This window comes from Homo sapiens, chromosome 2 (genome assembly GCF_000001405.40).
Source record: "Homo sapiens chromosome 2, GRCh38.p14 Primary Assembly".
In the NCBI taxonomy this organism is placed as follows: Eukaryota; Metazoa; Chordata; class Mammalia; order Primates; family Hominidae; genus Homo; species Homo sapiens.
Genome location: NC_000002.12, coordinates 18,909,923 through 18,928,592, shown reverse-complemented (window position 1 = coordinate 18,928,592; position 18,670 = coordinate 18,909,923). Strand labels below are relative to the sequence as shown.

Sequence of the window (18,670 nt, the reverse complement as noted above, 5' to 3'; positions counted from 1 at the left end):
CGTTATGGACTGGTCTTCCCATTAAGAGGCCAAGTCAAAGCTTTAAGAAGCCAGGAGCCTTTTTCTTCTTGGCAAATTCTCAGGGGATCTACATAAACAGAGATGAGTGTGGGTCCTTGTCCTCAGTCTTCCATCGTTCATTGTGTGTGGTTCCCAGTTGAGAGCTGAAGGAGAAGCTAGCATCCCCAGAAAGCCTCTTTACCTCCTCTCTCTCTCTCTCACTCTATGACAGCCTTAAGATAAAGCATGAGATTTGCATTTGTCAAGGAAAGTAAGACTGTAGCTCAATAAGCGGCAAAACAGAAACTGCTAAGTATTTTTCCTCCAAGGGCAAGAGAGCATTTCAGTCTTTCCCTTTAGCATCCACAGAATATAGCACAGTTCCAGGCTTCTGGTAGTTTCTAAATTGAAGCACAAAAATGTACATTCATTTGTGTAAGAATAAACAGACTAAAGCCTAGGGCTTGCGTCTTTGGCACCTCTGAAAGTTGCTAATTGAAATATTACTGGAGCCACAGTATAAGGGGTGGGCCTGTGAAGGGCAGGGTAGAGTGCTGCATGGGAAAGTACAGTCTTGACAATGTGCCCAGGGAAGTTTAGAAACAGGAAACTTAGACACAGCCAGTTAAATATAATGCCAGGCTCTGAGCAGGAGAAACTTGGTTGGTGACTTTGTGAGTGGCACTCTATGACTCTACAAGCTACTGGGCAGTAGATATTATTAAAATTCTGAAAAGGAAGGTAGAATGGCTGGTCTTTATGTAAAAAAGCCAGTTGGCTATTACTTAAGCAAACAGTCAGGCAGGCTGGTGGATGGCTGTATTTCTTTAACTCCTGCTCCCTTTGACCTCTGTCTTTGGAGCCTGGTCAGAGGATCCGTGATACACATAGCTGAGGCTGGCCTTTGTACCTTGAGTGGCTAGATAGATGTGAGTGCACAGAGGTTCTAGTCTTTACTATTTCAATATTTCTACAGGCACCTCAGTCCCTTTTGAGAATTCAAAATTGGGGCTAGAAGTAAGAAAATTTATTTGCAGAAGCAACACAAAAATGTTCTACGGGCACTCTAGGATTATAGGTGATATAGTTTAGCTGTGTCCCCACCCAAATCTCATCTTGAATTCCCTCATGTTGTGAGAGGGACCCAGTGGGAGGTAATTGAATCATGGGGGCAGGTATTTCCCATGCTGTTCTCATGATCGCGAATAAGTATCACGTGATCTGATGGTTTTGAAAAGTGGATGTCTCCCTGCACAAGCTCTCTTTCTGCCTGCTGCCATCCATGTAAAACATGACTTGCTCCTCCTTGCCTTCTGCCATGATTGGGAGGATTCCCCAGCCACGTGGAACTGTCAGTCCAGTTAAACCTCTTTCCTTTCTAAATTGCCCAGTCTCAGGTATGTCTTTATTGGCAACATGAAAATGGACTAATACATCAGGTTTCCAATCTTTGTGCCCAGGTTCCCTAGGATGCCACAGCATATTTATAGGGAAGCCACAGGCTTTTAAATTTTCTTAACTGAAAAAATCAATTTCCAGGGGAACACAGCCAGGGACACTGGCATCTGTATTGCATCATGTGAACTACTGACTCAAGGTAGGGCACAGTTTTAACATTAGATTGTATCACATCCCTTTCAGTGATGCTATATTTTTGCAAATAACCAAAAATTGTTTTGGTGGTTGTGGATAAAAAGCACACACTGCATATAAATTAATGTGAAACAGGAAACAAGAGTGTCAGCATTCAAGCTGACTCCAAATTTTGTGGTTTCACAGGGTTCACTGAGTACACATCTCATTAGTGAGTAATTGTAGATTTTTTTTTTTAGTTTTTGAGATGGAATTTCGCTTTCGCCCAGGCTGGAGTGAAGTGGCGTGATCTCAGATCATTGCAACCTCTGCCCCCTGGGTTCAAATGATTCTCCTGCCTCAGCCTCCCGAGAAGCTGCGATTACAGGCATGCACAACCATGCCTGGCTAATTTTTGTATTTTTAGTAGAGACGGGCTTTTGCCATGTTGGCCAAGCTCTTCTTGAACTCCTGACCTCAGGTGATCCACCTGCTTTGGCTTCCCAAAGTGCTAAGATTACAGGCGTGAGCCATCGCACCCAGCCATAATTGTAGTTTTTAAAGAATGGAATAAAAATGTTTTTTCCCTTGTTATGTTCAGTATATTATTTTTTTTTCAAATGATTACAAAGGCATAAATGCCTATCAAGTTTTTTTGGAACTAACTACTTACTAAGGGGAAATATGTGTTAGTATGTTTTTGGTCTATGAGTACTGTGAAAAACTTATTGAGACACTTAAGGACACTGTCCTTCAAGAAAGTATGGTACTTTCTGTACTAGGCAAAGGTGGTTGGTGATCTTACAAAAGGACAACTCTCAAGATTCCTATTCTAGTTTAGGTTTCCTAGACCTGAGGGGATGAAGGAAGTAACTGGTTCCAGTAAGTATTTGACAAATATTTCTTGGTGAATATTTTCTCTGAACATTTATTGAGACAGGTACTAAACAAAACATTTGAAGTGCATTATCTCATTTAATTCTTAAAAATGTCGCAATGAAGTAGGTATTATATCTTACAGATGAAGAAACCAAAGCTCAAGAGGTTAACTGAATTTCGTAAGTCACGCAGCTAGTAAATGTCATTTGAACACAAAATGGTTTGACTTGAAGCTAGTGCTTTTTCCATCACACCACACTTTCCCCGAATGGATGGGTGGATGGCTGCTGGGACAAATCAAAGGCCTGGCGTTTCTGAACAGGAAGAATACTTTAAATGCCATGGAATAGTGGAGAGAGCTAGATTGGGTATTTTCTTGTGCGAAAAAAATAATCAATCAAATACTCTCCTTTAGCATACTGAATAAATAAAATCAGAATGCCTAATATATCTACATCGAATTCTGCAAAGTTTATCCTCTCTTTTGCCTTTCAAAAGTACAGAAGAACTATATTCTCTGTTACCACACAGTTAAGTCCTAAGGACTTAGTAAAGTCATAGGCTGGTCCAAGTTCAAAGAGGACAATCCCTTCAGCTCTGCATCTCCTTCATCTGACTAATACAGTCACAAACCACTGGTCCAAATGCTTGGGATGTTTGAGATATTTCTGCCACAATCAAGCATATCTATTTGCATAAAATATTTAGATATTAAATTTCTAATGCTAAAAAAAAATCCTTCAGAGCAGAAGTGTGTTTTTCTTAACCTCATTTGTTTTCGAAAAGAGAGAATGAGAAAGAAAAGAAATGCATCATGCTTTACATAAAGGAAATAGCTCCAGGCAAAGCTTGCTAAATATTTTAATGGTTTAAACATTCATTTTAGCAAGTTTTCTTTAATTTTCTTAACTTTGTTCCTTTTGAACTGGCTCAACCTTCATGTTTAATCCTTGGAGCTTTCAAGGAACAGCCCACAGAAAGTTATATACACAAATATAACAAACATTTCAAATAAAGCACAATGCATAAAACAGAGAACAGGAGAACTCTGACAACAGCTGCTAGATTTAACACTAATAGTTTTGAAAGATTTTGGCTTGAAGGTTAAGAGTATCTTATGACAATAAGCAGGCTTTGTATATAATGTCAACAGTCCCGTTGCAACATGTCCAGTTTTAATTTATTCTTTTTCATTTGTATAAGACAAATAATATAATTATGGATGTCTGGTTCATGACATTAAGTTTTAAGAAGTCCAAAATCAATCTTATTTTTCAGGAATAACACCTTTTTTAAATTTCTGGCCTATATGCTTGTAATGGTTTAGTCTAAACATGATAATATGCTCTAAGTCTTTATGCATTTATTTTATTTAAATGAGTGTTTGGTGCATCGGTGCTTCTGCGAGTGTGAAAGTGATTGAACTTTCCACCCAGTTTGCTTCTTCAGAGGGTATCATAACTGATACTCAGTCTAGAGATGGGAGTTGTGTGCAAGGACCTCCCTCCTGCCCCACTGACCCGGCACACAGAAGTTTTCAGAATCACCCTCTGGCCTGCCTCTGGCAAAAGCTCTGGCACCATCCCAGGCAGATCAGAAAGTTTTTACATACATTCACACATAGATAGAAACACACATGTGCATAAAACGCTCACATACACACACAGGCAATCTTGTAAGTAAGACTCTCTGTCAGTCTTGGCTTAAGATGTCAGGTCATAAATCTCAGAAGGGTGTTTCATAATTGATTAAACATTTAGAAGACACAAAATAAACAAAACACACAACTAGGCTGCTATATAGGAGGCAGATGAGAGTGAAGCATGGCTTTCAGAAGGAGGGAGGGTTCAGCATAGAGTTGAGGATGAGTTCCCTCTCATGAACACGTAAGTCAACAACAAATGCCCAGCAGGGCAGTACCACAGAGTGACATGGACTTCCTTCTGTGTTTGGGCTAAGAACACCAGCTCTCTCTCCACATTGAGGTGGGCTATACAACAGACCTGGTTTCTGTAGCTCAGAGTCCAGGTCAGGTGACAAAACCAGGCAAGCTCACAATTTTGGAGTCCTGCTCCCAAAGGCACACCTTGGCCTAGAGTGCTACTCTCTAGAAAAAATTCCACAGTTAAAAAAATAACACTAATAATATTTTTTAGTATATTCTGTGTGACAGGCACTGTAATGGGTGGTTTACTAATATTTTCTCACTGATTCTTCTCTGCCTTTCTATGAAACAGGTACTATTATCTCCATTTTGTATGTAAGAAAACTGAATTAATAAACTTTCCCAAATATATGGCAAATACCGTACACAAATTCAGATCTTTCTCCTTAAAAAATCTGCAGCAGTCGCTGTCATTCGAAGGATAAAAATGCCTGGGATTGGACAAATGACCTCATGCATGATGATGCGATTTTTTTCTTGGTTATATTGCCCTCCTATGGGAGTTCAAGATTGTCCCTTTTCACATGTTTTTCTACTCCGCGGCACTTTCTTGTGCAAGCATTAGAAGTACTCCCCTCCCCACACTTGCACTTCCATAAGTGCCTGCCAGTTAGTTGAGCCCACCCTGAAACAAACATGGGTACACATGCACACACGCACAGGTGTCTGTGCTAACCTCTGATATCTCATTAAACTAGTACTGAACATCAGGGAAGACTTAGACACTGCAGGATTCAACCCTCTCATTTTACTGATAAGTACACTGAAGGGACTGGTCTAAGAATAAAGAGGACACCATTTCACAGACATTCCCAGAGTCTTTATTTTTTATGCAGAGCCCTGTTTTGTTCAGGAGATAAGCAGAACAAATATGAGATCCATGCTCTCATTGGTTTGTAGTCAAGAAGAAATAGATAGGTGACCTCGGAATTGCAGCTCAGTGTGGTAAGTGCTTTTCCTAGGATAAAGGTCAAGTGCTAAGAGAGGAAGAGAGGGGCACTGGCACACAGTAGAAGCCTGCTACTCAGGTCTCCTATACCTCAGTCTTTTATTTAGATAGAAATGTAATAAAATTGCTGGTGGCCATTTTCAGCACTTGTAGAAATTGATGCTCTATGCTTATTTCTCTAGCAACAATGACCATGAAGGTGTCTATAGCCCCAGAATTGAGAAGTGCACTCGGCTCTGTTTCTGTAGCATGAAGGGACTTCTGATTTTACGTGGCACTTACCCTTTTGTCACCATACTATGAGCTTCTTGAGGGCAGCAATCATTTCTATGCATTGTATACCCAGGGTTAGCATCGGGCCTGGCACATGGAGAAGGTTCAATGTAAGTGTGTTGAACGAACAAAGGCCACGGTTAGATAGAAACTCAATATGGAAGAAGTGTTGCCTCTTTACACCACTCCCTTGGTCTGAAATGGCATCCACTGCACTGCATGAAGCCCAGGCTTCCATGCAGGATGCTTCCACAAGCCTGGGCAGCTGAAGTTTTAACTACTACTAGACTCTGGGGTCTCAAACATGATGGTTTCACTAAATCTACCCTCTTATTCCACTTTGAGGGACAGACAAGCCCCTATATGGCCAGAAACTAAGCCCAGGCACAGAATCAGCTTCACTGCAGAGCAAAGCTCCATCTTAATGCAAGCATTTTTGGGCAGTGTGGTATGTGGTGGGGGAGAGCGGCAGGCACCAGGATACTTAGGTAATCAGCTCAGCTCTGTCACTAACCATGTGTTAGTGACTCTGTGTGAGTTCCATGTGTGGAATTCACTCCACTTAATGTCCAAGATCAGCAAGATGAAGGAATTAGGTGAAAGATGGTTTCTATAGTCTTATGTCACTCTAACATCCTGTAGTTCCTGTAGTTAATTAGTCTGGGCAAAGATTTTATGACTAAAACCTCAAAAGGAAACACAACAAAAACAAAAACAGACAAATGAGACTTAAACTAAAAAGCTTCTGCACAGCAAAAGAAATAATTAAGAGTAAATCGATAACCTATAGAATGGGAGAAAATATTTGCAAACAATGCATCTCACAAAAGGCTAATACCAAGGATCTACTAGGAACTCAAAGAACTCAGCAAGAGAAAAATAGGTAACCCCATTAAAAAGTGGCCAAAGGACATGAACAGACATTTTTCAAAGGAAGACACAAAAGTGACCAACAAACATGAAGGAATGCTCAACATCACAAATCATCAGAGGAATGCAAATTAAAATTATAATTTTTTTTTGAGATGGAGTTTTACTCTGTTGCCCAGGCTGGAGTGCAGTGGAGTGATCTTGGCTCACTGCAATCTCTGCCTTCCGGGTTCAAGCGAGTCTCTGACTTCATCCTCCTGAATAGCTGGGATTACAGGGATCCACCACCGTGCCAGGATAATTTTTGTATTTTTAGTAGACACAGGGTTTCACCATGTTGGCCAGGCTGGTCTTGAACTCCTGATCTCAAGTGATCCACCTGCCTCAGCCTCCCAAAGTGCTGTTATTACAGGCATGAGCCACCATGCCCAGCCATGATATATATACACATATATATGTATATACATACATATGTGTATATATACCACACATACGTGTATATATATATACTCACACACATGTGTGTATACACACATATACGCACACGCGTGTGTATATATACACATATATGCACACACATATACGTATGTGTATATATACACACATATATATACACATTTTGTCCCAATATATTGAACTTTTATGCTTAAAGGCTGTGACTGATCACCCTATCCTACTACTCTTAAACAGAAGTATAAAATATATATTTCATAATATATATTATATACAAAAATTGAGATATGATTTTTAGTTATTTCTAGTATTTTTCTATATACACACACATATATATGCACATAGGTGTGTGTATTTTCTATATACACACACATATATATGTGTGTGTGTATATATATATATACATTTTTTTTTTCCTTTTTAAACTAGCCATTCTGATTGGTGCCAAAATACAACAGGAATCATTCTATCAAAAAGACACTTGTATGGTTATTGCAGCAGTATTCACAATAGCAAAGTCATGGAATCAGCCTAAGTGTCCATCAACGAATGTTTGGATAAAAACCATAGGTATGGAATACTACTTAGCCATAAAAAAGAATGTAATCATGTTTTTGCAGCAATATGGGTGGAACTGGAGGCCATTATCCTCAGTGAAATGACTCAGAAACAGAAAGTCAAAAAGCACATGCTCTCATTTCTAAGTGGGAGCTAAACAATGGGTACACATGGACACACAGAGTGGAATAATAGACACTGGAGACTCCAAAGATGGGAGGGCAAGAAGTAGGTGAGAGATGAAATGTTACCTATTGGATACAATGTACGGTGTTCAGATCATGGGTACACTAAAAGCCCAGACTTCACCATTATGCAATATATCCATGAACACAATTGCACTTGCACCCCAAACCCATAAAAATAAAACATTTAAAATATATACAAAAAATCCTAATTCTGCAGCCATGTCCCACTATCTTCTTACTGCCAGGCACTCTCTCCAAGACCCCAGGGATTTGTTTTACATGACCTTCCTCAGAGTGCCTTGATGGGAGCACGTAGGGGATTTTTGTCAAATGAGCCAAAATCTACATCTATGTTTAATCTTTTCCATTTTTTTAAGTTCACTGTTTTCATTCCTTTTCTTCTTTTTACATTTTCAACAAAATTTTATTTTTCATATACTGTATAAGTACGTATCAAAAATATTTATTTTTATTGATTGCATATGACTAACCTAAAAAATAACTCAAACCAGAAGAAAAACACTTAAAATACAGAAAAATACTAGAAATAACTAAAAATCATATCTCAATTTTTAGATATTCTTCTGTTTAAGAGTGGTAGGATAGGGTGATCAGTCACAGCCTTTAAGCATAAAAGTTCAATATATCGGGACAAAATGTTTTGGTGGATATAGAAAAGAAAGAGTTTTGAAAGAGAGAAAGGATTTATGAACATGTTTCAATTGTTTATTTCTTTTATTTTTTATTTTTTGAATGGAGTCTTGCTCTGTCGCCCAGGCTGGAGTGCAGTGGTGCGATCTTGGCTCACTGCAACCTCCACCTCCTGAGTTGAGGAGATTCTCTTGCCTCAGCCTCCCAAGTAGCTGGGACTACAGGTGTGCACCACCATGCCCAGTTAATTTTTGTATTTTTAGTAGAGATGGGGTTTCACCACATTGGCCAGGCTGGTCTCGAACTCCTGACCTCGTGATTCACTAGCCTCGGCCTCCCAAAGTGCTGGGGTTATAGGTTTGAGCCATGGTGCCTGGCCTTAAATGTTTAATAAATGTATATACCAAGTATATTTTTAAGGCTTTTAGTGGATGTCAAATTGTGAGTTTTAAGGTTCCAATGGATAAAATTCACTGAATAATTGGATTCTTCTAATGTTCACATTTTATTATCATATGCTGGCAGTTACATTCTTTAGAATGATTTAAATTTATAAAGAAACATTTTAGAAGAGTGCTAGGAAACAATGTAGGAGAGCACACAAATATTGCAACAATTCATGAAGATTTTAAAGGATTAAAACAGCTTAAAGACATTGTTGGTGACACTGTTTTTCTCTTGGAAGCCTTGGCTCTGTAGCTATTCCTTATGTTGTAGAGAGATTTCCACGTCTAAAAGCTTGCTAACACCACCATGGTTACTTGAAATGCATCTGCCCTGCTGCTTTTTTCTTATAGTGTTGCTCATCATTACACAAGCTGACATACTTATCAGAAAAGCACTTGGGTAGAAATGACAAAAGCTGGACTCAACTTACTTTAATAAATGTTCATGTAGGAAACGATGGAAGCTCACAAAATTAATGGAAGAGTTGTAGTAACTTCAGAGACAGTAGTCTCACCTCTTCCAGGATGCTGTCTTCACCACTTCTCCCCAGTGTCAGCTGTGTCTCCTGGTGTCAGCTTAATTCTCTCCTGTGTCCCTATAATGCAGAGGACATGGTTACCCTAGGTCTGTAATCATGAAATCCGTGATGATCCTCTTAGAAAGAAAAGGAATTTTTTCTACTTGATCTACTTAAGAGGGTCCTAGAGAAAACACTGATTGCTATGGCATGGATCATATTCCTGTTCCCACATCAATCACTCTCACTAGAGTTGTGGAACATTATTATTATCTGGATCTGAGTCCTATGCTCACATGGCCTCTTGAAAATGGGGTAATGGAACTGGAAGCATGCAAAAACTCATGGTTTCGATGAGGGAGGAGCAGATCCCAAAGAAAAGTTTTCTACTATCAAAACAAGGGAGCAAAAGTGCTGGACATATAGAAACAATAATTGCACATTACATATGATAATAATTACAGCATAATTTATGGACAGCTTAATGTATGTCAGGCTTTTACATATAATTGCATTTACATACAATTTCATTTCTTGTAACAAACATATGAAAAGATATTTCCCTTCATTCATTGATGAAGAAACTAAAGATTAAAAGGCTATGCTTGGCAGGGTGTGGTGGCTCATGTCTGTAATCCCAGCAGTTCAGAAAGCTGAGATAGGAGGATCATTTGAGCTCAGGAGTTTGAGACCAGCTTGGGAAATGTAGAGACACCCCTGCCTCTGCCAAAAAGTAAAAATAAAAAAATTAGCCAGGCATGGCAACATGTGTCATTAGTCCCTGTTACTTGAGAGGCTGAGGCAGAAGGATCACTTGAGCTCCAGATTGTAGTGAGCTATGATGATGCCACTGCTCTCCAGCCTGGGTGACAGAGCCAGACCCTGTCACACACATAAAAAAAGTTAGGCTGTATAGGAATTGCTATGGCTGTGGAGAAAGGTAGAAGAGTCACCCGTAGTTTGAGAAATATTTCTGGATGTCTTTGTTTGATACATCTAAGTAATTGCTCTGGAGGAAGATATAATACAATAAAATAAAAATTAATAAATTATATTGATTATGCATCAAATGAACATTAGAGAGGAGAGACATACAGATACTGATAGAATCAAAATCATGACTATTGAAAGAATATTTGAATCTCAAAAATAGTCTATAGTGCTAAAGCTACAAAAGCCTTTGGAAATTAAATCGCACCTTAAATAAGCACTCAAAAATGCTGAAATTAGATAAATTGCACAATTTGAAAATGGCAATTTAATAAATGGAATACTAAATTCAATATTTGCCTTAACTTTACCGGATATCATCTTTTAGCCACCATTTAGAGAAACTGACAAAATAACCATGAAAGAGAAGCAAGATATTATAGAAACAAAGATGATAAAATATTTGAAAAAATAATCATATTCCAAAGGAAATAGCTATGAAAATGTTTGATATACAAATATGTCACCACAGTTTGATGACATAAGGTAAAAATATAATTAATTTATGTGTATCCTGCAATTTAACCAAGAAAGTTTGCAAATCTCTATAAAGGTGAGCAAAATATCAAGTTTATAAATCAAGTTTATAAAGATAACATTCCAAAAAAGCTTTTGATGACCTATATCATAATATAGTTATTATATTAATATCTCAGATAAAAATATGGGTTAAAAAGTAATGCATGTAGTTACATATGTTCAGCTGAAGATGATAAAGGATTTGGTACCATGAACAATAGAACTGTTGGTTAAAAAAAAAAACTATTTATTGAGCTCAATCACCTAAAGGCTCTCTAATGAAAAGTTTTTGAAAATATGTGCTCATCGCCTCATCAAAATATAGTTACAAACAGGGTTATTATTTAGCTAGTGACACTGTATCAAAATAATGGTCACAAGTACAGTGTTGAAATGTCAATAATGAATTAGAAATTACAAGGATGATTCTATGAATAATTTGCATACCGGTTTATATCACTTGGTAAAAAGTCATAATACACAGTTTATTCACAGAATAAAAAGAGCATTTTAAAGCTTTTATTTCATATTTTGATTTTTTCACCCCATTAGTAGTAAAATGTTTTACTATTCTCTCAGCATTTATGGACAAAGAGTTAAGAGGACATAGAGACCCTTCTCAAGTCAGGTAAAGGCTAAGAGTATTTCCTGTAAAAAGAATCATTCAGATGGTTGAAAGATGGATCATTTCAACACAGGGTCAATAAAAGAGAATATTTCAGATAGAACAAACTCGTGAAATTTTGAATACACAAACTGATGACCGCTACCAAGCACAATAAGTTAGTATTAGAAGACCTTAAGGATATGAGTGGAAAACAAGGTCTGTCAACGTAGATTAGGATCAGATTGTTAGCATCTTTAGGGCCATATGGAGGCACAACATTCTTCTGGCTTTTGTTTATCCCTGATTATTTTTTCTTTAGGAGAATAGTGATATTCCTTATCTGTAAAATGGAATAAACAATTCCTTAAGAGTAATAATTTAATTATTTACAGGAAAGAACCTGACCGAAGGCTGGGTCTATTGTAGATGACTGAAAAATATTTTCTGGCATATAAAAAGTACTTTACCTAGCTAAAATATGTACAGTCTTTTTTCAAACTCACTGAAAACACCAGGATTGAGGGTTCAGTATTAACAGAAAAAATGTTGTAATTTCCCTAAAGAAGATATGCTCTATCTGTGTTAAATCTGTTCATTAACTTATTCCTCAGCATTAAAAATAATAACAAAGGAATGTTTCTGAAACTGATTATGCTTCCTTTTATTACTAAAAATACAAATTGCTAAATTCATCTCATTTTTGCATGACATGGTATACACAGCTTTGCTTCCATGTCTAGTCATGAAATTTTGCTGAGGTTCAGAGCACTTAGCTGGTTGTATATTTTTTGGCTCATATGAAATCCAAGGTAATGAGCTTTAACACTACAAAGGCTCTGGAATGCTTTCAAAAACATTTGCTTCCCACAAGACAAATTAGCTGAACCAAGCAATAAAATGTGACATTAAGCATTCAATACTCCCATTTTTATGTAGTCCCAGGTCAGCTCAAAATGACCCCATTGGGGGCATTTCTGTAATGCCCTTGCTCATGGTTCTACTAAAAACCTGTCTCTAAAAAGCTAATCAATAGTTATTTACGCCTTGTAGACCTCCAAAGAAAGTCTACCTCATAAATTGAACTCAAGGCATTTTGGAAGCTTCTGGACCTAATGCAGTTTATAAGGACCCTCTGTCAAGTGGACCACCATGCGTGCACATATAGATCTACATGTGTCTATGTACATTTGCAGTTTATCATTTTTACTTATTTGGTATTGTATCCTATGATCTTGAGGAAAATTCTAAAGTTGTGTAACAATTAGTGAGATCCTACTGATTTTAACATTTTTAAACAGTCATATTTAGACTGCCTAGTTTTTGAGTATCTTGTTTTTAGAATATGAGATGTGTTCATCTCACTTGGAGTGTCATATTCTATTCTAGGAAAAACATTTCTCTAGGCAAACTGTAGTGGGTCTAAACAAGAGAGGACAGGAGAGGGAAGAAAGATTAAAGCACATCTTACATGGAAGAGTTGTGAAGACTGGTGTGCCTAGAAGAAAAGAAAGTTGAAAGGTGGAGAGAAGAAAAGGAAGCCTCTGCATGTCTGCTACTGTTAGGTTAGAAGGGACCCCAGGGCTTTTAGATGAGGAGCAAGGAACAAAGCAATAGGGAGATAGGGTTTAGGTCAATATGAAAACGACCTTTCTAAAACAATGGTGCAAGAAAGAGTCAACTCTCCAAGTAGAAACTAGGTAAGAGTGATGTTTCAGACTCTTATCAGCCTTGGAATGAAACACCCCAGGGATCCTTACAGCACACAGCTTTGTCCTGCTTGTAGGGTTTCAGGATATCCTAAGCAACCCTGAGCTTCTCAATATGCAAAGCCTTCCATGCCCTAAGGATCCCAAGTTTTCTTTCATTCCCAAACCAGCTTTTTACTTTTGTAAAAGAGAAAGTTAAAAAGCCAAGGCATTAATTTTTAAAAATTCAAATTCACTTTAAGAAATTTTACCTTGACTATTTTTGAGAATTAAACAAATATTTATTCTAGAAAAACTGAGAAAATTGCTCAGTCAGCTTGGTGAACTCCCGCTTGTTTTATGGTCTGTCAAAATTATGGGTGCTTCCTCCTTGTAGGCTACTCTATACCTTGATTAATAGCAAAGAGAAAACTTCAAGACATTAAGGAACAGAATCTCCAATCAGCTTTTCGTGTCCTTTATTTTTTGGAAATGTACTATCCTGACAATTTACAGGAGCCTTCCGCACTTCTTTCACCCTCAGCTTGGAGCAATCCTAATAGTTCTAGGTCTTTAAGCTGACAGCTGTCATTTGTGCACAGGGGCAAAAACAGAGGAGCAGTCATGGCCCGTAGCCAAATTTTGATGGAGAATGTCAAGGCTGCCATTGCATCAAGGACTCCCCACTTTCCTTTTCTATTACAATGCTAAGAGCTGCTATTTAATTATGACCCCTTCTCCTGAAGAATTCTAGTGATGACCTCCATTTATTATGCAACTCATCATAGCACAGTTTTGCTTTTTCAGAGCTGCAAAGGTACCCGTTTCCCTAATCTACTGGGGGAACCAGAAAGAGGAATGTGCACATACTGATTACTCCCACTAAGTGCAATTGATATCTTATCTAAGAGCAGCAATCATGACTGCACCTGTTCTGGTGAAAACAAAAGAAAATGATTAGAGTAGTGCCACGGGGTCTCTGGCCCTTTTTGACACTGCTCTAAAGATTCCTTTGCAAAAATCTAATGGTCACAGTATCAGGGCAGTGGCACAAGTCAGAATTAAAGACTGAACAAGGAAAAATTGCCAAGAGATTAAGTAGAACTGCCAAAGAGCTGGAATAACAGCCAGGGCAGAGATGCAGAGATGACCCACAGGGGTGCAGGATAGGTTTTTTTTTGTTTTGTTTGTGTTTTTGTTTTTGAGACGGAGTCTCGCTCTGTCTCCCAGGCTGGAGTGCAGTGGCGCGATCTCGGCTCACTGCAAGCCCCGCCTCCCAGGTTCATGCCACTCTCCTGCCTCAGCCTCCTGAGTAGCTGGGACTACAGGCGCCCACCACCACACCGGCTATTTTTCTTTCTTTTTTTTTTTTTTTTTGTATTTTTAGCAGAGACAAGGTTTCACCGTGTTAGCCACCATGGTCTCGATCTTCTGACCTCGTGATCCACCTGCCTCGGCCTCCCAAAGTGTTGGGATTACAGGTGTGAGCCACCGCACCTGGCCAGGACTCCCCGTTTATGTCCTGCTGATTCTCTCATGGGGTGCTGTGGAGTTTCTGGCTCCTAGAGACCTTCAGCTCTCTTCTAAGTCAAAGGATCTCTGAAAGTCCATTCTAGGTCTAAGGCTTTACTTTCTCCAAGAGCTTTAAGTTATATATCAACCCACAGCAATTCTGAGTTCAAGAATCAACAAATCAGCCAACCACCAAACACACACAGTCTGTGTGTGTGGCACAAATTTAAAGCAGAGTCACTTTCTCCCCCTGTCTAGCCTAAAAGGAGGATAAGGCATGCACCTGCCGAAAGTTTCGATGATAGTCACCCCAGTCAGTGGATACATATCACCAGCATAGGCAGCAAATATGCCCATTTCACCCATGTTTTTAGCGAAGCTGGACAGGACCAAGTGGAGAGATTTGGAGGGACAACTCTTTGAACCAACATTCTGTTTGTCTGGTGGTTCTCAAATTTGTTTAGCTTGCCAATTACCAGGCAATTCTATAGGATGTTTCATGAAATACTAAAGAATGTTGATGCTCTATGTGTGTGAGTATGTGTGTATATATATATCATAAAATATTGTGTAACATATATCACTTTATATAGGATTGTGCTATATTACAAAGTGGTAGTTGTTTCCACAGTGTAAGAAAAAATTTGTCTTTAAAAATAAACTTAAAACTATGACTATGTTATGAGTGGCAGCCACTTAGGGGCAGCAAGATGAAGGCCAATGTAGTTTTCTGAAATGCAGAGGAAGATATTTACATTTATATATAATATATATGAAGATATTTACATTTGTATATATAATATACATATATCATTTAAAAATCAATAATTAAGTCAAACACTAAAATTTATAATATATAAAGGAAGATATTTACATTCATATACACATAATATATGTATATATATTATTGATTTAAGTATCAATAAGTCAAACACTAAAATTTATAATATATAAAGGAAGATATTTACATTCATATATACATAATATATGTATATATATTATTGATTTAAGTATCAATAATTAAGTCAAACACTAAAATTTAGGAGAGAGTTGAATATAAAATGAAACTTATTCTCTGATTTTGCTTGAGAAAGCAACTTTGAAGAAGCTTAAAAATACATCAATCTTCATCTTCTCCCTTCTTCCATGAAAATAAGTTTTTAAGAGCTATAAGGGCCCCTCCAGAGCTATTATAGGAGTGTTGCCTCACTCCTTGGCTTCCTAGCACACGTAGAGATGTAATTTTCATGTCCTGTTCCTCTGCTGACATTAATAATGTTCCCTTAACCACGTGAGGGCAGAGTATTATCTCGGCTCCACATGGAGCCAATGTTGGGAAGTTATAACCTGTTTCCTCAGCCTATTGTTTTCCCCTACTTGAGGGTCATACCGGCTGACAAGGTGGGGTCAGAATGTGTGCTACATACAGGATGAGGGGCATGGTTTTTGAGAATGAGGGCTGAGGCTTTCCCCAAGGTAGAGGGATTACTTTACATTGCTCTGGGCAGAGTAAGAGAAGGGAGTCAAAGGTGTGAGGACCTGTGTAAACACATTAGTCGCTCTCGTCTGGAGAATGTAAGGTGGCCTTGGCCATGAGATCTCTTTGTTAGCAGTCGCACGACAGTGGAGATCACTAAGGTTGCCTCATACTATTGTATTCACCAACACTCTGGGCCTTATTCTGATCTGTGCTCACCTCACCCTTCTCCTCACTCAGCACCCACCCCCCACAGCAACACACAGACACACACTCACACACCTAAACTGTCCCCTCACTCAGCACCCACCCCCCACACAAACACACACACACTCTCTCACACACACACGCACACCTCATCCTTCCCCTCACTCAGCACCCACCCCCCAACCAACACACATACACACTCACACACGCTCACACGCACACCTCAACCTTCCTCTCAGCACCCACCCCCACACTAACACACACACACACTCACACATATCCTTCCCCTCACTCAGCACCCACCCCCCACACCAACACACACACACACTCACACACCTCAACTTTCCCCTCACTCAGCACCCACCTCCCACACAAACACACACACATACACACCTCATCCTTCCCCTCACTCAGCACCCACCCCCCTCACCAACACACACACACTCACACATGCTCACACGCACACCTCAACCTTCCCCTCACTCAGCACCCACCCCCACCAACACACACACACGCTCACACACACACACACGCTCACACGCACACCTCAACCTTCCCCTCAGCTCCCACCCCCAACACACACACACTCACACACGCTCACACGCACACCTCATCCTTCCCCTCACTCAGCACCCACCCTTCTCACCAACACACACACACTCACACACTTACCTCACCGTTCTCACTCAGCACCCACCCCCACACCAACACACACACACACACATATATATAATCACACACTCACCTCACTCTTCCCCTCAGCACCCACCCCCTCACCAACACACGCACACACTCTCATACACACACACACACACACACACACTCAGCTCATCTTTCCCCTCAGCACCCACCTCCTCACTAACACACACACACACTCAACACACACACCACAGTGGGCTACAAACAATATTTGTTGATTTGGTTTACTGAATAATTAACCAACTGCAGATTACTTCCATTATATTAACTTAATGTCGTGTCTATTTGGTGTTGCTATAACAGAATACCAGAGGCTGGATAATTTATTTAAAAAAAAAAGAGACTTATTTAGCCCACATTCTTCAGGCTGGGAAGTAAAAGAAGCATGTTAGCAGCATTTCCTTGGCTTCTGGTGAGGACTTTCCATGCTGTGTCTTAAAATGCTGGAGAAGGTCAAAGGGAAAGCAGACATGTGCAAACACGCAAAACCCAAGGGGTGTCCTGGCTTTCTAACATCCCACTCTCAAGGGAACATCCCTGTGAAAACGAATCCATTTTCCCAAGAGCAAGAACTCACTCATTACCAAAAGAATGTCAGTGAGTCATTCATAAGACACCCGTCCCCATGACCCAACACCTCCCATTAGGCCCCACCTCCCAACATCACCAAATTGGTGATCACATTTCTGCTGAGTTTTAGGGAAGACAAACTCAAATTAAACCACATAATCACTTCCAGAATGTTTTCTGCGTGCAAAAATTCATCGAGGGTGCTATGATCTGAATGTTTGTGTCACTGGAAGGTTTATATGTTGAAATCCTGATTGCTAAGGTGATGGTCATAGGAGGTGGGGTCTTTGGAAGGTGATTAGGTCATGTGGGTCGAGTCCTCCCTCCATGAATGGGATTTGTTTCTATATAAAAGAGAGCACAGAGAGCCCATTTACCCCTTCTACCACCAAATCTGCAGGTGCCTTGATCTTGAACTTTCCAGCCTCCAGAATAATGAAAAATAAATTTCTGTTGCTTATAAGCTACTCAGCGTATGACATTTTGTCATAGCGGCAGAAATGGACTAAGACAGAGGGTAATACTAATTTTCAACATGATTAATTTAGGCACTATGAGTTTGTCTATTCAAAGAAAAGTAAGCTATATATAAAACTGATAACATTCATAATATATTTAAATTTTTCACAATGTTTTTTCATTATAGTAGTAAAAGTTAAACTTACTTAAAGTTATTTTCTCTCTTTTGCTTCATATGCTACTTTTCTTATTATAGTGTCTAAATTATTTATAATAATACATTATTCATCTGAAAATATCTTAGCTGAAAACTTCAACTGTAAGGAATATTACCATGATCCTACTTTGGTAAATATAGACATGTCATACATTTCTTGTAAGAATAAATTAAATATGCAGATGTTCTTCTACAGCATTTATTATTCCATGCCAGAGTTTATTGCTCCTTTATACTGCAAGAAACTTGATGGCATAGAATACATCTTAGTTTATTTTCAATCCCTTGGCCTTTTGCTTGCCTGTTGCATTGCAATGACAAATCAGTTTCTCAGGGATAAAATGCATTTCCAAAGTGATATGGTTTGGATCTGGGTCCCCACCAAATCTCATGTCAAAATGTAATCCCCACCGTTGGAGGTGGGGT

At 39.0% G+C, this 18,670-nt stretch overlaps 1 long non-coding RNA gene across 7 annotated transcripts in view; it reads right to left on the bottom strand.

Annotated features, from left to right (window-relative positions):
- LOC105373456 (uncharacterized) overlaps window positions 1-18,670 on the bottom strand; it is a 529,181-nt gene that overhangs the window by 160,764 nt on the left and 349,747 nt on the right. For 6 of the 7 annotated variants that reach the window (XR_007086234.1, XR_001739304.3, XR_007086229.1 and 3 more), the window contains one exon: window positions 9,216-9,380. This is a non-coding gene — a long non-coding RNA (uncharacterized LOC105373456). The remainder of the gene's footprint in view (window positions 1-9,215; window positions 9,381-18,670) is intronic. The other variant, XR_001739311.2, reaches the window with a different exon arrangement.